This window comes from Homo sapiens, chromosome 15, assembly GCF_000001405.40.
Source record: "Homo sapiens chromosome 15, GRCh38.p14 Primary Assembly".
Classification (NCBI taxonomy): domain Eukaryota; kingdom Metazoa; phylum Chordata; class Mammalia; order Primates; family Hominidae; genus Homo; species Homo sapiens.
In genome coordinates, this window is record NC_000015.10 from 96,683,822 (window position 1) to 96,709,237 (window position 25,416).

At 37.3% G+C, this 25,416-nt stretch overlaps 1 long non-coding RNA gene across 2 annotated transcripts, besides 1 other annotated feature; it reads right to left on the reverse strand.

The window, feature by feature from the left end:
* Positions 1 to 5,413: 5,413 nt before the first annotated feature.
* Positions 5,414 to 23,486, reverse strand: LOC105371002 (uncharacterized). 2 transcript variants are annotated; one of them, XR_001751745.2, is made up of 3 exons: positions 20,863 to 20,994; positions 18,537 to 18,644; positions 5,414 to 5,706 (listed from the first exon to the last, which is right to left on the reverse strand). It is a non-coding gene; the product is annotated as an uncharacterized LOC105371002 (long non-coding RNA). The 2 variants fall into 2 exon arrangements; XR_007064803.1 differs by lacking the exon at positions 5,414 to 5,706 and adding an exon at positions 15,362 to 15,492 and having other exon boundaries at positions 20,863 to 23,486.
* Positions 19,212 to 19,822: an enhancer, noted in NCBI's record as "NANOG hESC enhancer chr15:97246263-97246873 (GRCh37/hg19 assembly coordinates)". NCBI's record gives its function as "activates a minimal SCP1, AML or CMV promoter by ChIP-STARR-seq in naive H9 embryonic stem cells {active_cell/tissue: H9 hESC(naive)}" and the evidence as "EXISTENCE:reporter gene assay evidence [ECO:0000049][PMID:30033119]".
* Positions 23,487 to 25,416: the final 1,930 nt, after the last annotated feature.

Here is a 25,416-nt window from a genome sequence, read left to right on the forward strand (position 1 = left end):
TAAAACCAATGGTTTCAACCAATGTTGCCCTACTTAAATATTGGCCCTTTTCTTTAATGCTATGTGTCTGCTGCGTAACATGTTTCTTTAACACTGTGTGTTTGCTGCATAACATGATCATGATATTATTTATTCAGCAGGCCAGTATAAAAAGTATCCAAAGAAGGGGAAAAAATAGAGTATAACCTAACCACTCTTGCTCCTTAAAGTCAATCTAAACAATATTTTGAAAGAACTCTGTCAATGAATGACTTTATATATTTACTTATTTTTAAAAATTGTTTAAAAATAAATTTAAGGTATATGACATGATGTTTTGATGCTCATATCCACAGTGAAATAATCACTACAGGTAAGCAATGATATGAATGGTGAATGCTGACGCTGTGGGATTGCTGGGTGTCCTGAGGAAGACCACGTGGAAAGGGAACTCAGAGCTAATACCTACAAATAAATACATCAAACTGCCATGATTAACACAAAGAAAGAAAGAGAAGATAGGCTTTTCAACACCGAATATATTACGCTATTGGGCATTAAAAATATGAAAAGTCTGGAAACCTGGAAATTAATTGAGAGAGGACAAAAAGAACAGAAAGAACCACCTTTCAAGGAATTTCTGAAGTTAAAACCCAAAGAGTTATTTTTCTTTTTAACATATGAATATCTTTGAGATCAGGATGTATCTTAAAATTTTAAAATTAATTACCAGTATATTTTCTTTTGTAGTGGTAGATAAAATAATGGCTCATCTTATAATCAGTGATCTCTTTGATTCCCTGAAATAAACATTTTTGTTTTTTGGTTTTACATATGAAAGGAAGGAAGCCATAGTCTATTATAAAGTCTGGATTTGGGGAAAAAAAAGAAAATAGAGAAAAAAGCATATAGAATTTTTTACTTGACAATTGGAAAATATACATTCTTCTTAAAGACTACAAAGCATATTTACAAAAATTGTCCATATTCTGGGCTAGACAGAAAGTATCAGCAAGTAGTATGTAATATTTCAAAAAACATGTTCTCTGACCACAATGCTATAAAATTAGAGATAAGTCCAAAAAAGGATAGTCAAAGAGCCCTGCACCTTTGAATGTGTAAAACACTCTTTAATAACTGATAGGACAAATAAAAAACATACAATTAAAATACATATTTAGATGTGAACACTACTTAAAATATTAAAGAGCAAATTAAATGGGTTATGGGTAAGACAGTACCTTAGAGGAAAATGTATTGCCCTAAATATTAAATCCTAAAAAGGCAAATACTGAAAAATATTTAGCTAAGCATTCAGCTTAAGAAGCTAGAAAAAGCACAATAAAACAAGGAAGTAAAAAGAAAGAATCAGAAACTAATAAAATTAATTTGATAACCCAGTTTAATTAATTTGTTAACCTGGTTTGCTAACTAGAAAGAATTAAAAAAATAAACTTTAGGTATTTTGATTGAGGGCAAAAAAAAGTGTGAACCTGTAACGAAAAAGGCAGTATATTATCAGTGTAGAGATGGAAAAAAAACAAAAAACAAAAAACGAAACCAACAGTATAGGATGTTTAGCTAAACAAGAGGCTTACACATGTATGAAAATATATAAACATATAAGAAAGGTCACATTGTAGGTCAGTTGAGGAAAAAAGGGTAATTCAATAAGCAGTATTGGATCAACTGGTTATCCCTATGAAAAATGTTAGACAGAATTCTCTCCTTATAGACACAAAATCAATTCTAGGTAGGTTAAGGACCTAAATCTGAAAAGCAAAGCTTTCATGTATTTGGAAGAAAATATAAATATCTTAAAGAAATTTAGATAGGAAAGTCTTTCTTTAATGACAAGATTAAAAGATCAAGGAAAATATTGATAAACTTGACTACATTAAAATTTTAAAAAAGACTTCTATGAGATGAAAAGCACAAAAAAGTAAAAGGACATGTTCCATACTGGGAGAAGAGTTCTGCAATTTATATCACCAAACAAAGACTTAAATATCTAAAATGATCAAAAATCCCTGCAAATCAATAAAAGATCAACAACTTGATAGAAAAATTGATTAAAGATGTATAAGAAAACATAAATGGCTAATAAACACTTATGAAAAGATGCTTAAAAATGCTTAAAAGATACCTACTGATCAAGGAAATGTAAATTAAAATCACCAGGAGATAATGATTGTGCAACAAGCTGATGGGGAAAACTTAAAGTTGGTACAAAGTTTTGATAAGGACAAGTTCTCTCGAGAATAACTAAGCAATACTTCATAAAGTTAAATACATACATACTTTCCATCTAGGCACTTCCAGCTCTGGGTTTACAGCAGTAGTTCTCGAATTTTACCCTGTACCATAATCACTTGAAGGACTTGTGAAGACCTGGGGTTCGGCCTTAGGATTTACATGGCCAGTAAGTTCCCAGGTAATGCTAATGCAGCTGGGAAACCAACCTGGGAATCATTGCCCTAGAGAACCAATCTTGACTGTGCCCAGGGAGACGTGCCCAACATTCACTGTGCTGATCGTAATAGCAAGAAATTGGAAGCAACCTAAATATCCAACATTACAAGGATTGAGAGGGAATTAAATTGTGAGAAACACTAAACAGCAGTTATAATTAATAAGCCCAAATGAAAGAAATGTTGATTAAAAAGAGGAAAATAAATAAAATATATACAATTTTAATAAAGTTTAAATGCATGTAAAATCATCCTGCATATTGTTTATAGATGTATGCATATGTTTAAAGTACTAGTAAAATAGGCCGGGCGTGGTGGCTGATGCCTGTAATCCCATCACTTTGAGAGGCCAAGGTAGGTGGATCACCCGAGGTCAGGATTTCAAGGCCAGCCACCCAGCATGGCGAAAACTCATCTCTACTAATATATATATATATATATATATATATATAATTAGCCAGGCATGGTGGCAGACACCTGTAGTCTCAGGTACTCGGGAGGCTGAGGCAGAAGAATCACTTGAACCTGGGAGGCAGAGGTTGCAGTGAGCCGAGACTGCACCACTGCACTCCAGCCTGGGTGAAAGACTGAGACTCTGTCTCAAAAAAAAAAAAAAAAAAAAAAAAAAGTACAAGTTAATTAGAAAAGTAGAGTAGGAAAAATATAAAAATTTGCATGGGATTAAGAGACACCAACTTCAGGACGGTGGTTATCTCTTGGCAGGCAAGAGACAGCAGTGGAATCCAGGAGAAGCACTCAAGGGACCTCAGCTATACTTGTGTTTTATTTATTTTTATTGAAGAAAAGATCTGATCCAAAATGGAAAAGTGATGAGACTTGGTGAGTACATGAATGTATGATACATTATATTGTTTTCTTGGTTGCACTTTTTAGGTCTGTTTGAAATATTTCATAACAATACTCATTTAAACAGAGATAGAGAAACTAACTGAACTCAGAAGCCTGTTAAGTCTATTACAGAGAGAATACCAGGCTGGATGTTTTTTTCATCTAACTTGATACTGAGTTTTTAAAATCCTAAAATGTGGAGCCAAAAAGCCAGAAAAATAACAAAACTAGGCATTTCAGAGAATAACTGGGCATCTAGTCATTCAGAGTGCATAATGGTAACAAATACTTTTATATTTAAATAATACTCTGCATGTGTAGTCTACTTTTATATAACATATTTCAGCTCATTTACCCCTCTCAACAATTCTGAGAATGAAGCAGGAAGGAAGTTATCATTCCCATTGTACATATGAGGAAACAGGCTCAGGGAGGTTAAAGAATCAGAGAGTGGAGTAAATGCCCAAGCTGGAGCTGCCTCCTGTAGGTTACCGTAGGTCCTTCTCTGTACATGTAGGCATCCAGGGGCTGCAGGATGCTGTCAGCTGATGTCCTAGTGAATCTTATTCCAACTTAGTTGGGGCTGAAAATTCTTCCTTCAAATTTATTTTGACTGTGACTAATAAAAACTCAGGGGGTACCTTGCTTTCTAACTTACTCTCACTCAGTGAGTTGTTCTGCAATCAAAAAGCGGTTAGGTTTTCTAGTAGTAGCTGTTAGGTTTTCTAGCAGTAGCTGTTAGGTTTTCCAGTAGTAGCTGTTGGGTTTTCTAGTAGTAGCTCCTGGAGGTGGCGATGTGGTTGCTGGGTGAAGCTCGGGTTTTGAAGCTTGTGTGGCTTATATTGAAGTCCCCGTTTCATCACTCACTAGCTTTGTGAATCTGACAATTAAATCAGCATTGAGGAGCCTCACTTTCATAATCTGTAAAGTGGGATCACCTCACTAGCAGGGTTGCAGAGGCTAATCTATGTGCAGGGTGTGATCAAGTGTCTGGCATGTGGTAACAGCTCAGTAAGTGCAATGTATTTAATAATTATTACTTTTATTTGTTGAGATGCAGATGACCTATTAAAGTTATTCTCTTTCTCTCTCCCTTTCTCCCTAATGAGATCTAACTCAAAATCAATATTGAATGCAGAGAAATGTAAACATGCATATCTCTGTCTCCCTGGTCACCTTCTGTCAATTCAGAATGGAGATAGGTGGGTACAGAAGGCATGAGGAGATCGGGGAGAGTAGACAGGGAGGGAGAAGGAGAAAGCAAAATGTAATTCTGAAATTTCTGTAAATTTTGAATTCAGCAAAATACATGAACAACTACAAAGTAAAAGAAGCTGAACAACATGAAGGCAGCCTGGTCTCACAAATACATATTGAAAAATAGGACCTAGGTTTCGACTACTTCTTCAGAAACAACACTGTATCGAAAAGAACCAGCTTGGTGTGTATTTTTGTGTAATCATCAGAGTGATTTTGGTGTAATATACACATTACTAGCAAATTTGTAACATATCACAAACAGTAGGAATTTCCTTTGCCTTAAGTGTTGGTATTTTATACTAAAAATGTCATATCGGTAAGAACATTTGAGAAGGTAGAGCTTCTAGAAAGTGTCAGTAAACATGGTGGTTGTACCAATTCACTGAATTTGTTGCTTAAGAGTTTTCCTGGAAATAATAAGTTTGGGAAGAGATGTGGCAGTGAATAATATCTAGATTTAATTTGAAGCATCACTACAATAGTATTTAATAATGAGCCTTGGGTATTGATGCCATGAACTGAAGCAACTTGTTCCCCAGGGACTTTTGTAAAGGAGCTGCAAGGAGGTGTGTGGTGTATGATTGATATTCCAATCTTCTTTTAGTTTTAGGATAGTTTTTGAGCATTGATCTACTCATACTCTATCTAAATGTATGGACCCCTGCTTTACTGCTGGTTCATGTCCCCGGATGTCTGCTTGTGCTGTTTCTTCTGCCTGGCATGCTCTCCCCTGAGACTCCCACCCTTCCACTTGGACAATCGAACTCGACAGTTAAAGAACCAACTCAGGTATTTCTTGAACAAACTCCAGTTGCCAGTAGAACGGGTGAGTCTCCACTCTGTTCTAATAATAATGATGATGCAATGACAAAGTTTATTAAATATTTGTATATGCCAAACACTGGTGTAAGTACTTTATATTACTTAGCTCATTTAGGCTTCACAGTAGCCCTAGAGGAGGGCACTATTATTAAAAGTGTCAGCGCGTGACATCGGACTGTCTATCTATGACTTATTTACTATATTCCATCGGACTGTCTATCTATGACTTATTTACTATATTCATACTCATCATCATCTCTCCAAAGCAGGGTGTCTCCAACCATATCCAGTAGGATACTGTTTCCCAAGATGTCAACAGTCAAACCTGAAAAACAAAAAGGCAAATAGATAGCTTTATTTTTATTTTTTGCAAATACGCTTTTAAAAATTCACAATACATAGTCACAATTTCAAGGCCCTGAGAAGTCCTAAAATAAGAAAACATGGTGGCCGGGTGCAGTGGCTCACATCTGTCATCCTAGCACTTTGGGAGGTCGAGGCGGGTGGATCACCTGAGGTCGGGAGTTCAAGAACAGCCTGGCCAACATGGTGAAACCCCATCTCTGCTAGAAATACAAAAATCAGCTGGGTGTGGTGGTGGGCGCCTACTATAATCCTAGCTACTCAGGAGGCTGAGGCAGGAGAATCACTTGAACCCAGGAGGCGGAGGTTGCAGTGAGCCAATATCGCGCCACTGCAGTCCAGCCTGGGCGACAGAGTGAGACTCCGTCTCAAAAACAACAACAACAACAAAACAAACAAACAAACAAAAACATGCTTAATTTTGCTTCTCCCAGCATTTCCCAAAGGAACCATGCTCACATTTATACTTTGTTCTTCTTTCTCCCCGTCTCCTACTCTTGCATCCCCCTTCCAACATATGCTAGGTAAATATGTTCAAATGCCCACACATAGTTTCATACTTATCAATCTATAGTGAAATTGTTTATTTCTACACGGAATTCTGTTATTGGACTATGGACTTATTGAGGGGTAAACTGTGTCTGATTCATTGTTATGTTCCTAGCTTCATTTGCTGTGACATGAAAGTTGTATGTAGGTTTCTTGTTTGGCTATGTTCAGGGATGCTTCTGAGATGCTGCTTCATCTGAGAAAGGAGAAGACATCACGATAATTGACATTCTGGACCTTGATGCTTGATCGATCAGTTGTGCCCCCACCAAGCCAACACTGTGAAAGACAACAAGGCAGTCTGCCCAACACCAAGATGCTGACAGTTAGCATGGGAGCTCTCCATCACAAATATGTCCAGCTTCATTCATGAAAATCTAGAGAGAGGTTTCTCTGAGGTTGAGGTTTTTATTTTCTCCCTAAAGATGAATTCTGAAGCTCAGAAAATGTAGATGTAGATAACTCCCTGGATATAATCCTCTCAGTCAATAATTTTATTTTACATATGAGATAGTCGAGGCCCAAAAATGGGAAGTAAGTGGTGTAATGACACCGGTCAATGGCAGAGTTAAACCAGAATAACTTATCTGTCCTTCTAGAAAAAAACAAAAACAAAAACTCTTTGGAACTCTGGCCATGAAATAAACCCATAGAGGATGGATGCTTCTCTTTATGAAAGACAGCAGAAGCCAACACAGATGCCTAAGAGAACCATATGGCTCAGGAAAAAGCTTGGCTGAAACAGCCATTGATTGGCTGGTCTACAGAGCACCCGTTTGGCAATCTAAAGGTAAAAGGACTTTTGGCAGTGGAGTAGCTTATGATGCAGAACTGGATGCAGTGGGAGCGGCCCAAGCAGTGACCCGGGACTGGAAACCCCTTGAGCCCAGGGAATTAGAAGCCTACATGATGAAATTTGCTGGAAGAAGTTCTTCCAAAAATAAACTTGTGTGGAAAGGCAGTGCAGTAGCCTGTGTTGAAATGGCTTTGATTGGAGAAGATACACCTGAGAGACTTTTATTATCTCTTACTCAAGGACTGCAAGTGAAACTGGAAATGTCTATTGTAAATTAAAGCCATATGTTCCAGAATATGAACTAAACATCAACATTTGTTGAGCCGGTTCCATGTTCTAAGTGCTTTACTTATTAACTTGCTGTATCTACACAGTAACTTAATGAGGTAGCTATGATTAGTCCAGTTTTACAGATGAGAAAAACTGAGGCATAGAGAACTAAGTAACCAGCTCAAAGTCCTACAGCTGGTAGTTAATGGGTCCAGGATGAAATAATTACTGGTTTGTTTCTATCATTTATTTCATGTTTCCCACACTATAATAACATTCTATATAGTGAACAAAGTTTTAGCAGTTTATGGCTAGATTTCTGTAAGTAATTTGAGATTGTCATACTGTTCTGAATAGAAATCTGTGCAATAAAATGGTAACGTTGGTGAAGAGAGACTAGGAGATTTACAGCCATGGTATAATTAATGTAAATGTTAGAAAAGCACACATAGGTTTTGAATGAACAGGAAGAGAAATTCTACACATCTTTTTGTACTTGTAAATCTTGTTTCTTATGGAGTGGGACAGTGTCATACAGGATTTGGAGTTTCAGAATATTTTTTAAAAAGGAAAAAAAGACAATGGAATATATGAGATGATGGTAGCTCATTTTTTTCAGCATGGTTTGTCCCCTCACCTTTCAGAAAGCACTTACTAGGTGCAAAGTGCATGCAAGTCTTGAGGAATGTGAATTGGCATCAGTTCATTCCTGATGGTTTATTATCCACTAGTCCATGCACGCATAAAGGCACAGAAGTAGCAAAACATGTTAAAGGAGTTCTAATAAATGGGACTTCATATCTTAGGGATTTGAGGACTGGTCATAAATTGTTTTGGCTGGAATTTGAGGAGCAGGAACTTTGGTTTGTAGATTGAGAGCAAAGGATTTTCTTATATCCTAAGAAGAGTGAACCAAGGTTCGGGAGTCAACAAGCAATTCAATAATTAAAGAATGAGGAGTGGTCCTGTTCAGAGACAGAGCTGGAGAATGGATGGAGAAGTGGGGAGGTCTCTGAGATGTCTGTCTGGACAAAAGACATTGACTTCCTGAGCAAAGACCCCAGGAAGCCACATTTAAAGCAATTTTTAACATCTTTCTGAGGCAGATTTCAAATGCCTGAGACATAGTAGGTACTCAATTAATATTTGTTGACTGAGTGAACTGCACAATGAAAAAAGATAAAGTAATTGCATAGCATTTCAGAGTTGCCCACGAATCCATTTGCCTGCCGTCTAAAATAGTAAGCACAGCTATAGAACGCATTAGCCCTCAATCCCTGGCCCAAATTTTAGGCATTAAAATGCTGGCCTTACTCTTTGGGAGTGTACAAAGATGACCTGGGCACTGGCAGCATGCTGTCTTATGTGTAGCCTAAATCCACTGATGTGAACTCTTTGTTTGTGCTAGTTCTTTTCTTGTTTAAAACAACAGTGAGAACTACAAACCCCAGCACCTTAGAGTTATCCACATATCCATAAAAGCCTAGCAACCAAAGGTATTATCTTTATTCAGAAGAAGTAGAACACGATTAAGGTTCAGATATACATATATATATATATATATATATATATATATATATATATATATATATACACACACACACACACACATATATATATATGAATTGGGTTCTGAAATGGTCATTTTTTTCCCCCTCGGCTCTGCTATTATAGTGATCAGCCAAGCTTCGGCAAGGTAAATACTTTTGGAAAATAAGTGGAAATTTGCTGCAAATCAGTCCCTTTTGTGCATGGCCGCGGGAGCATGTTGAAATGTTTGGACACTAATACCCATTCATTTTCTTGGCTCCATAAATAAAAGCCGCCAGCTCTGTGGCGGCCGTGAAATGGTATTCTTCAGGGCCCAGCAGGAACCCCCATCCTTATTACCACTGCAGGGGGCAGGACAGGCCCAAAATAGCAAGACAACTAAATCAAGACATTTTCAATGTCTAACAAAATGACTGTGTTTTAGAAGGAAGCAAAAGGTTGGAAAAAATTGGACAGCTGTTGTACTTAGTGAAATACCTTTGTTAAAAGAGTTCAGATGGGAAAAAAGAATCTTTTAAAAATGCATAAGCATATTTCTGAATATCATTTAAAATCTCCAAAGATCTTATGAAACTGTAAATCGAATGCATTGATGTAGTCATCAGAGGACTTCAAGCTGAAGGTATATTCCGTTTGCAGACCCCGGACCGCAGATTATGATGTGGGTCGTCAGAAATATTCTGCGGGCCTTATTATGCCTGTAGGTTTGATGGGAGAGTAGCTTCAGAAGGAGGTCAGGGAAGCTTTTGAAGGAACCTGAGCAGCTATTTTGGCCTTCAAATCTTTCTCAAATTAAGATTTTTTTTTTCTAAATAAGTTCGTAGACCTGAGCAGGTTTTAGCTATTGCTATTTCTTTTATCCAAGAGAAAAATTAGCTGAAGTATTTCTTAAGAGTCATAAAGGCATGGCAGTAACTTGACAGGGAGGAAGGCATTGAAAGAAAGTGTTCAGAAGGTATTTTTGGATTTTTGTTTCTCTTTCACTGCCACCCCACCCTGACAGTTATGAAGTGCTGTTCGCCCATTTTGAATAAACAATAAATTCCTTCTGTTGTCATAATATATCCCATAAGTTAGTATCCAGTCCAATAACAATTAGTACTGATTTTTTTTTGCATGGTGCAGTGCTCCATGGCTGACATTATTATAATTAAGCATGTAAATGTAACATCATTCTGACACAAACCAGTCATTTTATGTAGTACAACTCAAAAGGTTTCCTCAAAATGTAAACACTTAGAAGAATCTTGCCAAATCCCACAAAGTTAACATGCCACTCAAGTCTGAAACACAGGACTTTTGGATTTTTGAAAGTTAATAAACAAAGAGGAAACTATTCTCTCCCCCACTTCCCACCAATCTCCTCTTCAGTCTTTTATGACTCAGATTTTAATGAGAGCCATAAACATTACCTTGCCTAATAAAAATTCCAGTATTTCAGAGCTGGCTCAGAGAATGTGAACCACATCTGGTGACAACTGGAGCTAATTAATATCTTTATAGGTGTCTTCCATCCGCTAGAGTTTAAACAGAAATAGTCAGGGGTGCTTACATCAAAGCCCGAGGCAACGGAGGGCTGTTGCTTGCTTTCCAGTCTGAACTGATAACAAGTAGACCAATTTTTATAGGATTGTAAAAGCTAAGTGTGGAGATGGTTCACGCAGAGAAGCACTTTGCTCCACTCTTCCTGCCATTCTGTGCTCATGTCCCTGGTTTTCTCTGCTGTAGACTAGTCTGGCTAGTTAGTTAGACATGTGGACAGGCAACAGGGAAAAAAAAAATGCTAAAAGAGGGCAGGGGAGACTAACAAATAGCTGTGCTTAGATTTAGACAAAGCACACAGTGACCCAGACATACCAGATCTTCTTGCAAAGATCTTTAAAAATCTGCTGTGTCAAGCATTTACTTGTGGCCCAGAGAAGGTTTATCTAACAGGCCCAAGTGAAAATTAACAAGCAAGATGCACTAGCACCAGTGGTGCTAATGCGTGTTTTGAAGCGTACCAATCGGCCTAGTGCAATGTCACAGCTCCAGGCTAAACATGCAGGTGGTTGAGGGGCTTCTTTTTCAGAGGTTACCCTACAAAGAGCATGGCAGCCTTTCTCTGTCAGTATGGGCCAGTACCCCAGGAGCTCCCGGACAATCAGAAAATAATGCCATCAACCTGACCATGGTTAAGTACATAACATGCTGAAGGTTCACGGGTTTGTAGTCTGGAACAATAAAGAAAAAATAAAGACGCTTGCTCGGCAGGCCCCAGCTGTTATTAGCCATGCTGAGAGATCAAGGAAAGGTATGATATGGACTGCCATTTCAATTGGGACCAGGTTAATCTTTCAATTGGAGGAGAAGAAAAACAACAACAGAAAAGCAGTCCTTAGAATGAACCAAGGGGACAAATGACAATGTCATTACTTTCATAAGCTGTGCTTAACTCTTTACTAATAGAGACCACGTATCCTTCAAATAAGCTTAATTTTCTTCAGAATGGTGGGCAGAGAACTCTAACACCTCAAAGTTCAGCCAATGAACATACTATCTAATCTTCATTAATTGTGCATCGTTGAGACTTATGACTTAGAGGAGAATCTCTCTACCCACGTAGATTAAAAATAACTAGTATCTCTTAACGGAAACATCATTGGAGTTTATTCTGGCCTGGACTCCATGGCTGATTTGTGATCTTCAGAAAGTGGCTTAATCACACTGAATCTTAGCTTACTTGCTTGGAGAATGGATTAGGATGAAGTCAGAGAGTTGGGAATGAAGTCATTCTTGCAACACCAATATTGTTTGAGAAGTTTGTTTAAAAACACCAAGAACCATCTGTATGCTATTAAAGGAAAAGCTAAATTGCTGATTGCACACCCAAATATCCAGATGATTCTGTGTGAGTGGGTGTGGGAGGGTGTGCACTCTAGAAGGTGGGAGAGATCATGGGAATGTCAGCAGCAAAGAGCTCTGCAAACTGAAAGCTTGCAAGCAAGTAGGAAGTAGAACTAGAATTTCTATTTTTTTACCTTCCAAATGAAATATGAGAACAAGGAATTCTGCAAGTCTAAAATATAATCATTCATACTATTCCCTAGAAAAGGAAGCCAACAAATGAAGATATCCCCAGCTTGTTTCTCATTCAGAAAAGGAGCCCATTGTTAGGTTCCAAGGCTATTGTTCCTTTGGTTCATTGATTTTGGTGTTATCTTGGACATACAAAGAGGTGAGGGGTGAGGACAGGTGGACATATAGGGTGTTTCATTCTTAGATCATTAACTGTGCTCCCATCTCCACAAATAAATGGTTGTGAGCAACCATTGTGAAAAATACTTTTTTCCTTCATTTATTTACTATTTTCATAAAATTATAAAAACATGATGGAGGAAAGTACATTAAAAGTAGACAAAATTCACACAATCTTAGCTTCCTGCTCAAACAACGTGATCTTGTGTGGCCCAGTCCATTTCCTTCTGATTATGTTTGCATTTTTCTTCCTTATAGAGTCAAGATAATGTCATAATACATAAATTGGATTACGTTATGTTTTTCCTCAGGCAATATCATTGCATGTGACTGGAATCTTTATAAACATACTTTTCTTCTTCTTCTTTTTTTTTTTTGAGACGGAGTCTTGCTCTGTCACCCAGGCTCGAGTGGTACAGTGGCTCTATCTCGGCTCACTGCAAGCTCCGCCTCCTGGATTCACGCTATTCTCTTTCCTCAGCCTCCCGAGTAACTGGGACTACATCGCCCGCCACCATGACCGGCTAAATTTTTTTTGTATTTTTAGTAGAGATGGGGTTTCACTATGTTAGCCAGGATGGTCTCGATCTCCTGACCTCGTGATCTGCCCTCCTCGGCCTCCCAAAGTGCTGGGATTACAGGCGTGAGCCACCGCGCCTGGCCATAAACATAATTTTTATTTGGGTTGCATGACACTTTGTCTTCTGAGTTGAACATTTGGGTTATAGCAAATGTTTTATTTAATACAAAATAATACTAATAAGAAAAGATGCAATTAAATCATTTTTAAGGCTTCCTCTCATTTAAGATTGTTTTCTTAAGTAAACTCCTGCTAGAAGAACAGAGCAAACTTTTTTAAAGCAACAAGTTCAGTTAAAGAACTTCTATAAATTCTATTTTAAAAATCACCTGAGTATTTTTAGCTCCGGTTCCTAGAATAGAAAGGAAAATATTGTTAAGGTTTTGAAGACACATGTACAGATCTTTCATGCATAGTAGTTAGAATGGGCAGTATATTATATGCAGATAGAAATAAGCATGTGCCAGACCTCTTCGTCTTATTATTAGAAACAATGCTACCAAAACTGCTAGCATCCTCCAGTCTCTAGACATTAGTTTCTTGGCACAATTGACTTAGTATTTAATCAAGCTTGCAGGATAGGCCTCTCTTCTACTATGCGCACGGTTAGATATGTCTCAGAAAACATCTGGGATTGTGAGAGGCTTTATGTTTCATGACTAGCCCAATGAATCATCTATCTAGAGTATATTTGGTTTTGATCTCATGATGGTGGCTGAGAATGTAATGGATGAGGCTTTCTGTTTCTCTCCTTCAGGCTTTACTCTGGATTAGCAAGTACTGTCCTGCTAAGGTTTCATGGCCAGAATGCTTCCAATGAATGAAAACTAACACTGTATTACACACACAGCCTAGGCCATTACAAATTGCATAAATACTAGGTAACTGCAACCTTACACTAAGATTTTATTGATAAACTGGTGGCATCTTTCATAAGAAAGGTGGCATAATTGTGAAAAGTCATGCACAACACTTTTGTACTCAATTTCATTATTGCCAAAATTACACACTCATTGAACATTTGGCAAGTTTATTCAAGATGGAAGTGGATTGCAAGCCACGAGAGTTATGGATATCAAAAAACAAAAAGAAGGGATCCCAGGGATCATAACATTCAATATAATGGGCAAATAACCCACAAAGAGCACATTTTTCTTTAAACAAAAGAACCCAGGCTCATCTATTTGAATAGTTTCCATTAAAGCTCCTTTTTACCAGTACCTGATAGTAGATTAAAATGTCACAGATGAGATCAAAGAAATGAGTGGAGAGAAAAACTAGGAAGTGGAGAATCAGAAGTACCCTCACCTCTTTTACAGGCTAAAATGCAAACCCCTACAAATTATGGGTTTGTTCAAGGAATAATTTGAAGCATGAAAGATTAAGTTCTAGACAATTTGCCTAAGGGTTTAAGAAAGAAAAACACATTGGAAGAACATGGTAGAAACATCTCTCATTAATCAGACTCTCCATTTCTTTAATTAAAGAATAAATGACTAGCATTTTGCTTCTGCCCTCGGTGAAGGACTCATAGAAAACCAAATGCCCCCTTTCTGAGTTGGTTGGCCAAGGCTCCTGTTAGTGTTAAGTGTTCACATTGATAACTACAGAATCAGTTCCTTGGGGGGGAACCTAAAGACCAATCTTCAGCACAGTTTAGCACTAATCAAGGATTAGTCAATAAATGCATTCTCATATGACTTAAGAGAAGCCTGCATTATTTCGCATGGGACTATTATTTTGTAGAACTACCATTAAGTCTTCTTATTAAAAATGGCAATCACCCTGAATTAGAAAACACTTTATATTATGAAGAACCTAAAATAAATCACATAAGTTGAAATATCCTCTCTCAGCCTTCTCCTATCTGGTTTGTCTCCAGCCTTCATGTGTCAATATGCTATCTATTTAAATGGGAAATCAGCTAAAGTTTTGTCCTTGTGCCATCATTTTGTTTTCCTGGCAAATAAATTAGTTTTGGAAATACATTAAATCCTATCTTATTTCATGAAAAACTTATATAAAACCACAGTTTGCTGTTGAGTGATAGCTAGACCTCATAGCATCCAGAGAAGTGTGTAGGAATCCAGGTCATTCTGTTCTGGAAATTTCACAAACATGTTTCATCACAAAGCCGCTAGTATAATATATATTATATTATACATACATATGTATATAAAATAAATGTCTTCTATAATTATACACATAGTTAAAACTGCCAGCTCCTTTTGAGTCTGAGTGGGAAGGAGGGGGGATTGATATTAAGTAATATTGGCAACTCATATTCCCACCGCATCGTTCCTTTATTAGTATTATTCCAGTTAAAATGTTAAAACATTGATTAACATTTTTTTCTTATTAATTTATTCTTCCCTCAGATACTATATAGGGGAGTACTTTTTTGTTAAGCACTGCATTAATAAAACAAAAGTAATTATGCTGCTGTATCTTCTAATATCTAAGCAGGGATTTTTCTTCATTACCTAAATGAAGAGGTGGGATTAGAGGTCAACAAAGATAAAAAGAGGATCAGAGGGTGGATTAACATTTATTGAGTGCATATTCCATTTTAGACACTTTAAATGCATTGTCATATAATTCACACAATAGCACGTATGCATTTGTATTACCTTCCCATTTTAGAGATGAAGAAACAGATACCCAGAAAGCTGAAGTCGCTTGCCAGAGATCAGAGTTCAGTGGTCGGGCTGGGATCCACATATGTCTGCCTGACTTCAAAGTCCTTCTTACCATGAATGTATTACCTATCAAGAAATTACTTTGAGACCATTTGGGTTTTAGGGAATATTAAAGCCAAATACATACTCTTTCTTTTCTGCTGACAAAATTGTTAAGGCTTGAGTTATCTTTCCACTTGGATTAACAATGACCTTCAATATGGCAAATACTGATTGCCCTTCTGTATACAGACGCCACCCCAAAACTTTCTTCCATTGCCTTTATCTTGAACTAGGAAACATGTGTTCCCTGCTATCCCCACAACATGAACTCTGCCTTTTCAGAAAAACATTTCCAAAGTTAACACGCTCCAACATAAAGGCCTAGAAGAGCCTCCTAAAAGCCAAGGAGTTTGTCGTCATGTAAAGACTCTTCTCTAGTTTCTTCATAGTTACCTGCAGATCTCTGTGGATGGGAGGTTAATACAAATGTTAAGAAGGAACTGAAGCGTACTTTTTTATCATTTGGTTTTTCATGTAGGCAGACTTCTATCTAAACACAACTTTTATGATTTTTAAACAGAAAGGTATAAAGAAAACAAAGACAATAGATTTATTTATTGCTTTCCATTTAAATCATCATTTGCAATAGACTTTCTTTTCTTTTGAAAGGAAAAAATGGAGAGTTTATCCCTGGTTTCAACAGGTTCTGGAAAACCTAATGAAAAGAGTGGAAGCAAGCACACTGAGAATAGAAAAGTCTTTGTTTATCCCAGGAGCCCTGCATCTGTGAGATTCCACAGCTCCCTGGACAATCCCCTCACAGGAGGCCACCTGTAGGAGCACAAGCCCTTCAGCCCTGGGGGCTATTTTGCCTCTATCCTCTGCAGTCAAACCACCAGCATGCATTCTGTGCTATGCTAAATCTGGTAATGGCTTTTCTGAAACACACACCTGTCCATTAAGAATGGCAACGAGACTCCCAACTCATTTTACATAGGCTACTGCACAGCAGTGGATGTTAATGACTTTGGAGTGTTTTGTCTTTGACAATAAGCCGGAATCTTGACTATGCAATTGACTGCAACTACATAAATTGCTATTTGGAATGAATCTTAATATATACACTTGTGTATATGAATACAGCTAGCTGCACTTTCCCCATACGATCATGGTTGTTAACATTCTACCCATTTTAAGTGAGCAAATTTGAATAAAATGGCTGCGTAATACATTCTGTGTTAACATCAGCTATTTAAAAAGCCCAAGGATTAAAAGTTAATTCCATCCTTTTAATTCAAGGGACATATAAATGGCATTATGGGTAGAGCCAACTCCTCTTTTATCAGTCCTTTCATGCTGCCTCCTCACTAATTCTTGGTTGTTCAAATGCTACCTACATAATAAAAGCCTTGAGTTAATTTACTAAGATTTTACACCAGTGCAAATGAAAGAAAGGAAAGTGCTAAACAAGGCAATTAGCACTCTGTTTAGTGCACTCCCAAAATAAATGTAGGCAATTTACAATTTGGCAAATGGCACTCAATCCAGATCCAACTCATTTATGCCTAAGGGGGTGGTACAGTTCATTAGGGGGAAAAAGTGTTTATATATATTATGCTATTGAGGCCCAACCCATTTTGTACTACAGCAACAGATGTGACTCCTCCTGAGGTTTATTAGCGTTTCTTGCAGAAAAACGCCAAACTATTATGCTTTCAAATAAATGGTCCAAAAAGAATGCCTTTTACTATTGAGTATTAGTAGCTAGCTTTACAAGATGGGGTGGGGGTGGGTATAAGTGTGTTTGAGAGATGGTTTGCAAAACTTATAGTCGTGGATCGGAGCCTTTTTTGTGGCTGGAAGCATGCATTTCCTACATGGACTGCAGTTGCTGAGATCTGCAGAAAGTGTTCGCTTGAAGTATTACTGACTTTCTTAATTGACAGGAAGGTTGTTTCAAGCCTTTCATGTTTATTCTTGTAAGCCTCTTATTAGTGCAAAAATAATAGATGTTGTTAATGCAGAATCACAACCAACATTAATATTTAAGATGCTAGAATGAAAAAGGTTAAATGTGTGTTTAGATTGCTTTTGAACAAAGAGCTTTACGAAATAGTTCAGAAACGTAACAATGGACCAAACTTGGACCAATTTTGCCTGACTTTGAGTCTCTCATTCTTTGGGGGTTTATTCTTTATTTTAGGAAGATGAAGTTCTTATACACTTTCACATATTCCTGCCATTTGGAATTTGTATCCCTGCTGGAATGAAAATATGAAAATTGACATCTGAGGAAGGAAGGTGCGAGGAAATCCACCAACCTCCCCAGTATTTTTGTTTATTTCTAAGTCTATATAGTTCCAGTGAGTGATTAAAAAGAAAAAAAAAAAAAAGACAAGGCAAGGTAAAAGCATTCTTTTGTGCCCTCTAGCTGCTAGAAGCACAAATGAAAAATAAAATTCTCTGATGATTAAATTCACCTAATCTGGCTTAGGGACTGGGATAGAGGGGAGGGGACCACAATTCCTATGAGCAAAAGTGTTTTTTTTTCTTTATAAAAGACATCAGGATAAATAAAAGTTTACCATCTTGTATTAACTGCACGCTCATTTTCAAAAGACAAAGCAGAGAAATAATTCATGAGGGACTCTCAGAAAATTAAACTGGGATATCACTTCTCTCAAACAGCTAATTAATATGACACACATATTTTGGACTATGCATTGCTTCGAGTATTGATCACTATTTTAATTCTATTTCTAATGGAAGTTGAGTAGAGATTGCAGTCTAGAATGATTTTTGTTTGTTTGTTTTAGGAATAATGTAATTGCTTTTAGAATTGCTGACCAAGCTAGAATGCATACGTAAGTTTATGAAAATGAATGGGGTGTGTGTGCTTTATTTATATGTAACCTTCTGCTTTAGGGTCACTGTTTGCATGATAATTTTATCTAAATCAGTCCTTAAGGAAATGTGGAATTTGTGGATAGAAGTCCTGATAGCAGTTTGGAGTTTGGGTTATAGCCCTTTAAATCCAGGGTGCATTTTGAATGTAAAAATCAGCACCCTGTGTGATCCCTTGCTGCTGAAGTGGGGAATGTTCTGTGAAGGTGGAGTAAGTGGCTTACTTGTGAGATAGCTTCACAAGGGAAAGATCCAAATGCCCAATTTACTGCACGATTCATTTAGGAGGAGAAAAAGTCTTGCAGCTTGGCACACGCCTACTGCCCAGAATTCTGAAAAAGAAACAAAGAAATAGTTTGAAATTTGCAGAATTTAAAACAACGACAACAACAACAAAAGCCCTATCCAAGTTTCCTAAGAAAACAGCTCCATTACTGCCCTACATTTTTCTGTGTATCCTGGAGAGTGTGTGGGTATGGGGGAGGGGCGGATGGGGTGGGAAGGGAGTTGAGCTCTTTAATGATTCAAGGAAATATACGAGAACCCCTTTTTATATTTTTCCCTGAAGTGAATACACAGTTCAGAGGACTCAGTTGAGTCTCACAGCCATTCCCAGCAATTCCCGATACAGTGGAGAGTTCAGCAGAAAGGGCTCAGTCTCAACAGATGTTCTAAGTGGCGCCTCCTGAGTTGCTCTTGTGTGGTGGAGAAATACAGAAATCAAGCTAAATCAAATTAGGCAGCAGAATAAGAAAATAAAGGTCAGGTCCACCAGCATCTGAGTAAACAGCCTATGCCAATGTGGCCATCTACAGTCAGGAACTAATTAAGGGCTGATTGTCCTTCTCAGTGAAACCTCAAAAATGCATGGTAGTGAATTATTAAAAACAACAACAACAAAAATAATACAAAACCCCCACACTCTGCAGTGTGCCAGATGAAAGATAGGGAACCATAATATCCCGCGGAATTGTGTCTCTTGGATAGAGATAGTCCCTAAATCCCCAGCTCTCTTTGTTTTGATGACAATTTTTCTTCCTTTAAGGAAGCAGAAACTATGCTCTAAGCCTGTCTTGTGTTACAGCTCCTTTTACCTTTGTCTGCCTATCTCAGCTGGTATTTAATTGGTCAGCAATAGGAGGGAAGTCTCCTTTGAGGTAATGAATATTGACTGTTTATGTTGAAATGTCACTGTGAAAAGAAAGCCCAGCACCAAAGAGGGAGAACCCAGTGTGAGAGTCTCAGACACAAAGGAGACACCAGTGAAACGGAGGCATTGAAAAGCAAAGCAGCTGAAATTCAAAGAGCAGATGAAACAGAAATGGCCTACATGTGTGGGAATTTTAAGCTAGCAATTGACAGGTGAAAAAGTCATTATTTTACCTGTTATAACCAAGTGTAATTGCGTGTTTTTCCTAAAATGGCATGGGGGCCATGGTTCATATAACTATTTCCATTGAGAAACCATCCTCATCTTTTAATGAATAATTTTTGTTTCATAAAGGTGATGGGTAAACCTGTTTCTAATTATATGGATTTGAAAAGTTAGAAAAAAAAGAAAGGGAGGAGCTACTTTGCTAGGATGGCCCTCTCTTAAAATGGTTAGATCTTGCATTTCTCAAATGAACCTGCTGGGTCTGAAAAGTTTTGCCTGTTGCAATTATAGATTTTAAGGCAAAAAAAAGGGAAAGGCAAAATGCTGTCACAAGCCAAGTACAGTCTGCTAATTAGTTTAGCTTGGTTGGAAATATTATCATTTAATAATATGGGACATTATTTACTGCATATCTTGGTCATTTGATGGTGACCGTGAGCTGACAGCTGAGACAGTGTCTCTTTAACCCTCTCTGTGCTGGTCAAGCACTTCCCCATTTAAGTCTGGTTTTGCTGGGGAGCTATGGCTTAATTCACCCACAATGGATTTTATGTCACTGTGTGAATTGGATTTTCCCTTCTTATATTTCCCCCAAATGGTGACCAGCCAGATAAGTAAAATCGGAAAAAGGACAGCAAATAGAGAATTTCTATATGATTTCAATGTGTAGGAAGTTCTAACGTTGCCAAGTTTTTAAGTCTGAGAGGAGTCTCCCCATCCTTCTTTGGGCTTCATGACCATTTTGCAAGTTAATGATAACTACAAGTATTGTTTTTCTTGCCTTTTTATTGTGGAAAAGAAGGCAAATGAAACAAAGGGATTACTATGTAACTACTGAGTCACACTCGTGGGAAAAATAAAATCACTGTGGAGTTAAGATAAACAAAAAACTTCAGTTTCTGGTCCCCATGAATAAGGCGGCTGTATTTACAGTGTGGTTTTACTGTTCACATATTTAAAGTTCACATATTTAAACTTTATCATAATTGGGACCCCATCATCACACATTTTTAAGGCAAGAGCTCATTAGCTTTCTCTTTGGATCCCAAATGCAGAAAGGATTCCGTTTTTGTTGCCCAGCCATTCAATTATGTTTTCCAAAACCCGGAAAAATAAAAGATGACATCTTTAGTCACACCCCACGTCATGCTTGAACCCTGACCTGTGACACTCACCTAACTTGAACTAACAAGCTGCATGCCCCACGAAGAGTGATACTTCTTCATTAGCAAGATCCATTTCACCTTTAAAAACCCTTGGTTTTCCGTTTGCATTAAGTGAGATTGAGACGTCTTGGGTCTCTCAATGACATTTAGGAATCTTCCAAGACAAAAAAGGAAGTCGTTACATCTCCAGTTCACCTGCAAAGAAGATGTCATTAAAAGAGGAAGCAAAATGAAACCCTGTCAACTTGTTAGGGCCCAAAAGGTAATTCTGCCATCAAATATGGAGTCGGGGAATGATACAGAATCCTTTTATTACTGACACGAAAGAACCTGCTGGTGTCAAAGGTGTCTCCTGCCAGAAAAGTTCAGGTGTTGCTAAATTCATTAATGTGTCAGTTTGAAAAGATGTGGTCATTCCTGTTGTCTGTAGGGATGAAAGCTGGAATCTGCCTGCTCCTGTCAACACACTATCATCTTAATTTCGTTTGCTCTGCACCTTATTTGCCATCTGTAAGGGGTTAAGGGCCATGGGCGATGGCTTCTTAAAAGACTACTAATATTTGACATATATCATTTCAATCTGCCCTTTCACCACCACCCCCTACCATCAAAAAAAAAAAGTTGTTAAATAATATTACTCGTGATAGTTTGCTTGCCAGATGTTTGCTAATGAGGGTAGTAGAGAGACAGTGAATCTCTTCTGGTCTTTTATTTATTTTTATTATGTGAGATAAAAGATAAGGGTACCTAGTCTTTATAAGGCTATGTGCTTTCATATAACCATGATACATTTTTATAGGAATTTGATGCTTAAATATTCAGACATTGGAGAGGTTCTCTCTTTCATTTAAGGATCCTTTCTTCGAATTTTATCTCAATAGGATCTTTTGAAAATGTACAGGATTTTGTAAAAGATGTCTCGATAAACAAGATCTAAATGAATGTTATACGTGTGATATGATAAAGAATGTTGATTTGGCAACTTATAGATCAATTTGTATCGGAAAGTATTAAAGTGATTATAGTATGGAGAACAAAATATCAAATAAAATACATCACTTGCAAATAAAACAAAGCACAAGTAATATTAATGTAACACCAGAAAATATAACAGTCACTTTTCTAAAGATATGTGTTATAGATGATGGTTTTAAAGACAAACCACACTGCAATAATTTAAATTTTTAAATTTCAAATTTGAAATATCATACTAGTGTAATCAAATTTCAGTTATTGTATGGATTATGTCAAAAAAGCTAAATCACCAATTTTTATACCTTGGTTCAAGGCAATATTTGTTTGCTTAATGTTTTTCAAAGAATGAGGTGAAGTTTTTTGCAATTTTCTTCTAGAAACTTTCAATAATCAAATGATAATGAGGAAATGACAAATGCCCTTTCTAGCTAAGATTACAGTCTAATAGTGATTAAAATAACTTGAGTTTTCGACCAATTTGGGTTCCTATCATTATTATTTATTTTGCTTATATAGATGTAGAACTCAGAAAGAGTGCCATATTATGACTCTCATATTCTTGCCAACAATAAACAACATTAATTTGCATGTGGGAAAGTAATGTCGTCACTCTTTAATAAGTTTGTAGGTCCGTATTTTGGAGCCTGGCTACTCTACTTCATGTGTGTTCAGATTATATGTCTGAATTTCCCCACCTACCTCCTCTACCCTGTCTTAGTTCTCAATCTTTCTTGCATAAAACAGAAAGTACTTTCTTAAAGTACAGAAAATAGTCTATTACAAACAGATATATTGTTGATACTCATCAATGTTGCCTTTTCCCGATCTCTGTTTTAATTAAAAATTCAAATATTTTCCTGAAATTATCAAGCTTGCTTTAAAAGGGGACTTTTCTAGTTCTAAAATACAAGACAAAACAAAATAAAAAATTCTCTTATTTTTAAGCAACTCATTTATATGTTAACTCAGTTTGAGCATTTAAAATGACCCCAAATATGTGTAAAGCACACATATATATGACCACATTAATGATTTCCTAATCAATCAAGCAAAGCACCTTATTTTTACTTCAGCCCTGGACCAAGATGTATGTGATTTTCAGGCCCCAGTTTCAAGATTGCATCCTGAATGTTCATGCATGCACTGAGATGCTGTGTGTAGATTTTCTATGTAGGAGCGTTACAAAACTTCAGCTAAAGATAACCACAGTGTGCAGCTCTGGTGGGAACTGGGGTGAGTGGGTCTTGCCTTCATTGATATATGGAGCACTTAACCTAGTGAGAAGCGCAGAGGTGGTTGGAGGGCCCCCCCCGATGAGTTTTTCAAGTTGATCTGGTGGTTGTATTGTCGGTCTCTCAGGATAGTATGCAGGGGGCACACATTCTGGACTTTCACTCGCAGGGAGAAAGAAAATCAATCTTCGTGCCCCAGAGATGGAATTGCTGATGCAGAAAGTCACTGAGGCATTGGAGTCTTGTAAGAAAGACTCTGAGGAAATGGCTTCGGGCTTCAAGTAAGATCTTGGACTGCATCAGAGCTCTCTGGAGATGCAGGGCAGTTCAAATATAAATAGAAAGGGTGTTTACTGGCGTTGGCCCCAAGTTGGTGTGCTTTTTGATCAAGAAAGAGAAAAAAATCAGCTGCAATTGGGGACATATCTGTGGATTAGAAAAAATAAGTATAGCTGAAATGCTTTATTCTTCACTAGAGCGTGGCCTGTGCCCCACTAAGGAAAAGTCATCCTCGGATTACCATCAGTCATTTTCCATAAGAGCTGCTGTAACTTTTTGATAAGCATCCAAGTTTGCAGATAGCACTTTTTGTCTGAAGGTAATATTTGATATTAATGATTGCTCCTAGTGATGTAATACCTTTCAACCTGAAGACTCCCAAGGCATTTTGCAGCTAAAATCATTTTGAAAATATTCTAGATTACACACTCTAATGTAGTCAGTGACTGAATGGCTGTTACTACTTGGGAAGGCAATGCATTCATTGAAAAGAACCATTTTAATGAAGTGATCATTTTAAGATCAAGAATGAAGGGCGCAAGAGCTTTTCATGGTAGCATTCAATGTAAACCGACACTGGCTGTGTTGCTGAATTATCTTGCCCTTTGAAAGCCCCACTATTGTTCTGAGAGCACCCATTTGTGACACAGAAAAACCAAGAGTTGCAAGGCCCAGATGAGGGTACCTGGTTGAGATCTCGATTTTGATAATTAGACTTTATTTTTTTATTCCTACAAAGCCATTAACAAATACACCATTTCACTGGCTCCCCTTCTTCAATGTAATAAAAAGCAAAATTGTTTGTGCAGTCAATAAAACTAACTGTGATGACCTCTTTGATTTTTTATTATACTTAGAATTTACAAATTCTCTCACTTATCCCATTGCTTCACATTAAGAAGGGCAACTAATGTTTAAAAATTCAGTTTTCATATTGTAGTTTAATAGTTTTAAACTATTTCTACTGTCCTAATTAGGAAGGTGCAAATAAAACATTTTTTCTGATGGTGCAAAGAGACTTTTTTTTTTTTTTTTGCTTCTTAAACAGGGTAGGTGAATTCACTGTGGCAGCTTTTAAACCTCTTTTTCTCTCACTGTAACAATGCTCCTGGTAGAGGGCCTGAGAAGACAGCCCTGTGGGTGCTGATATTTTTTTCATGGTAGAGAAATCTGAATTCTTGGGGGCATCAAAGGAGTGAAGCAGGTAATATTTGATTGGCAGGACATTCTCTGATTTACACCCCTCTATCTTCTAAGCCTCATCTTCAGGCTTGTCCCCAGCAGACCATAGGCAAGAAGCCATTCTCCAGAAAGCTGTGAGATGTTACCAGGTCTCCCCCAACCCATATTTTCTAGGAACCTTTATTGCTCACTTAATGTGAGTTGATGGGATTGAATGCAAAAATCATTGCCCCAAATTCCTCAATGGAGAGTCATCATAGTGGCCACATCTCTGTTCTCATTCAATGGGAAGAGATGACCAGTGTCTTTGTTTATTTGTTCCTATAAAATGCAACCACTTGGCAGAATGTAGTAGGTCAGTAATGGAGTGTTTTGGTAGAATGGTGGCAGAAACCCACAGTGTTTCAAGCTGCCCTGATGCTAAAGGATGGAAAAAATAGGGCATGCACCTCAAGTGTTCATTTATTGTCAGCGCTAAGCTGTGCTTCTGACATTGGCTTTGAGAAGGAAATTATGACATTTAAAAGAATCTCCCAAGCTTTATAAAAAGCCTGTGAATATCTATAAATATTGATCCAAAATGAGTGCAATGAATAATTTATAGTGAAATATACTTTCTTTGTCTTTCAGTTTTTAAAGCAGCTTGGGTTTTTTTTCTCTAAAAAAATTACGGTTAGACAAGCATATTTTTCCTCTACGTTTTAGAGCCATTTCTTATTTTTAGAAAAAAATGTGTTATTTGCAAAGGATGTTGGAAGTTCGGGGAAAAAAAGCAACAACAATGCACACATTACCAAAATGGAAACATATTGTAGATGTTCTAGTTTCAGGGAAAAATATAACAAGATTTTTTAAAAAGTTTACATAATTTGTTGTCATAATTTTGTTGTCTTTG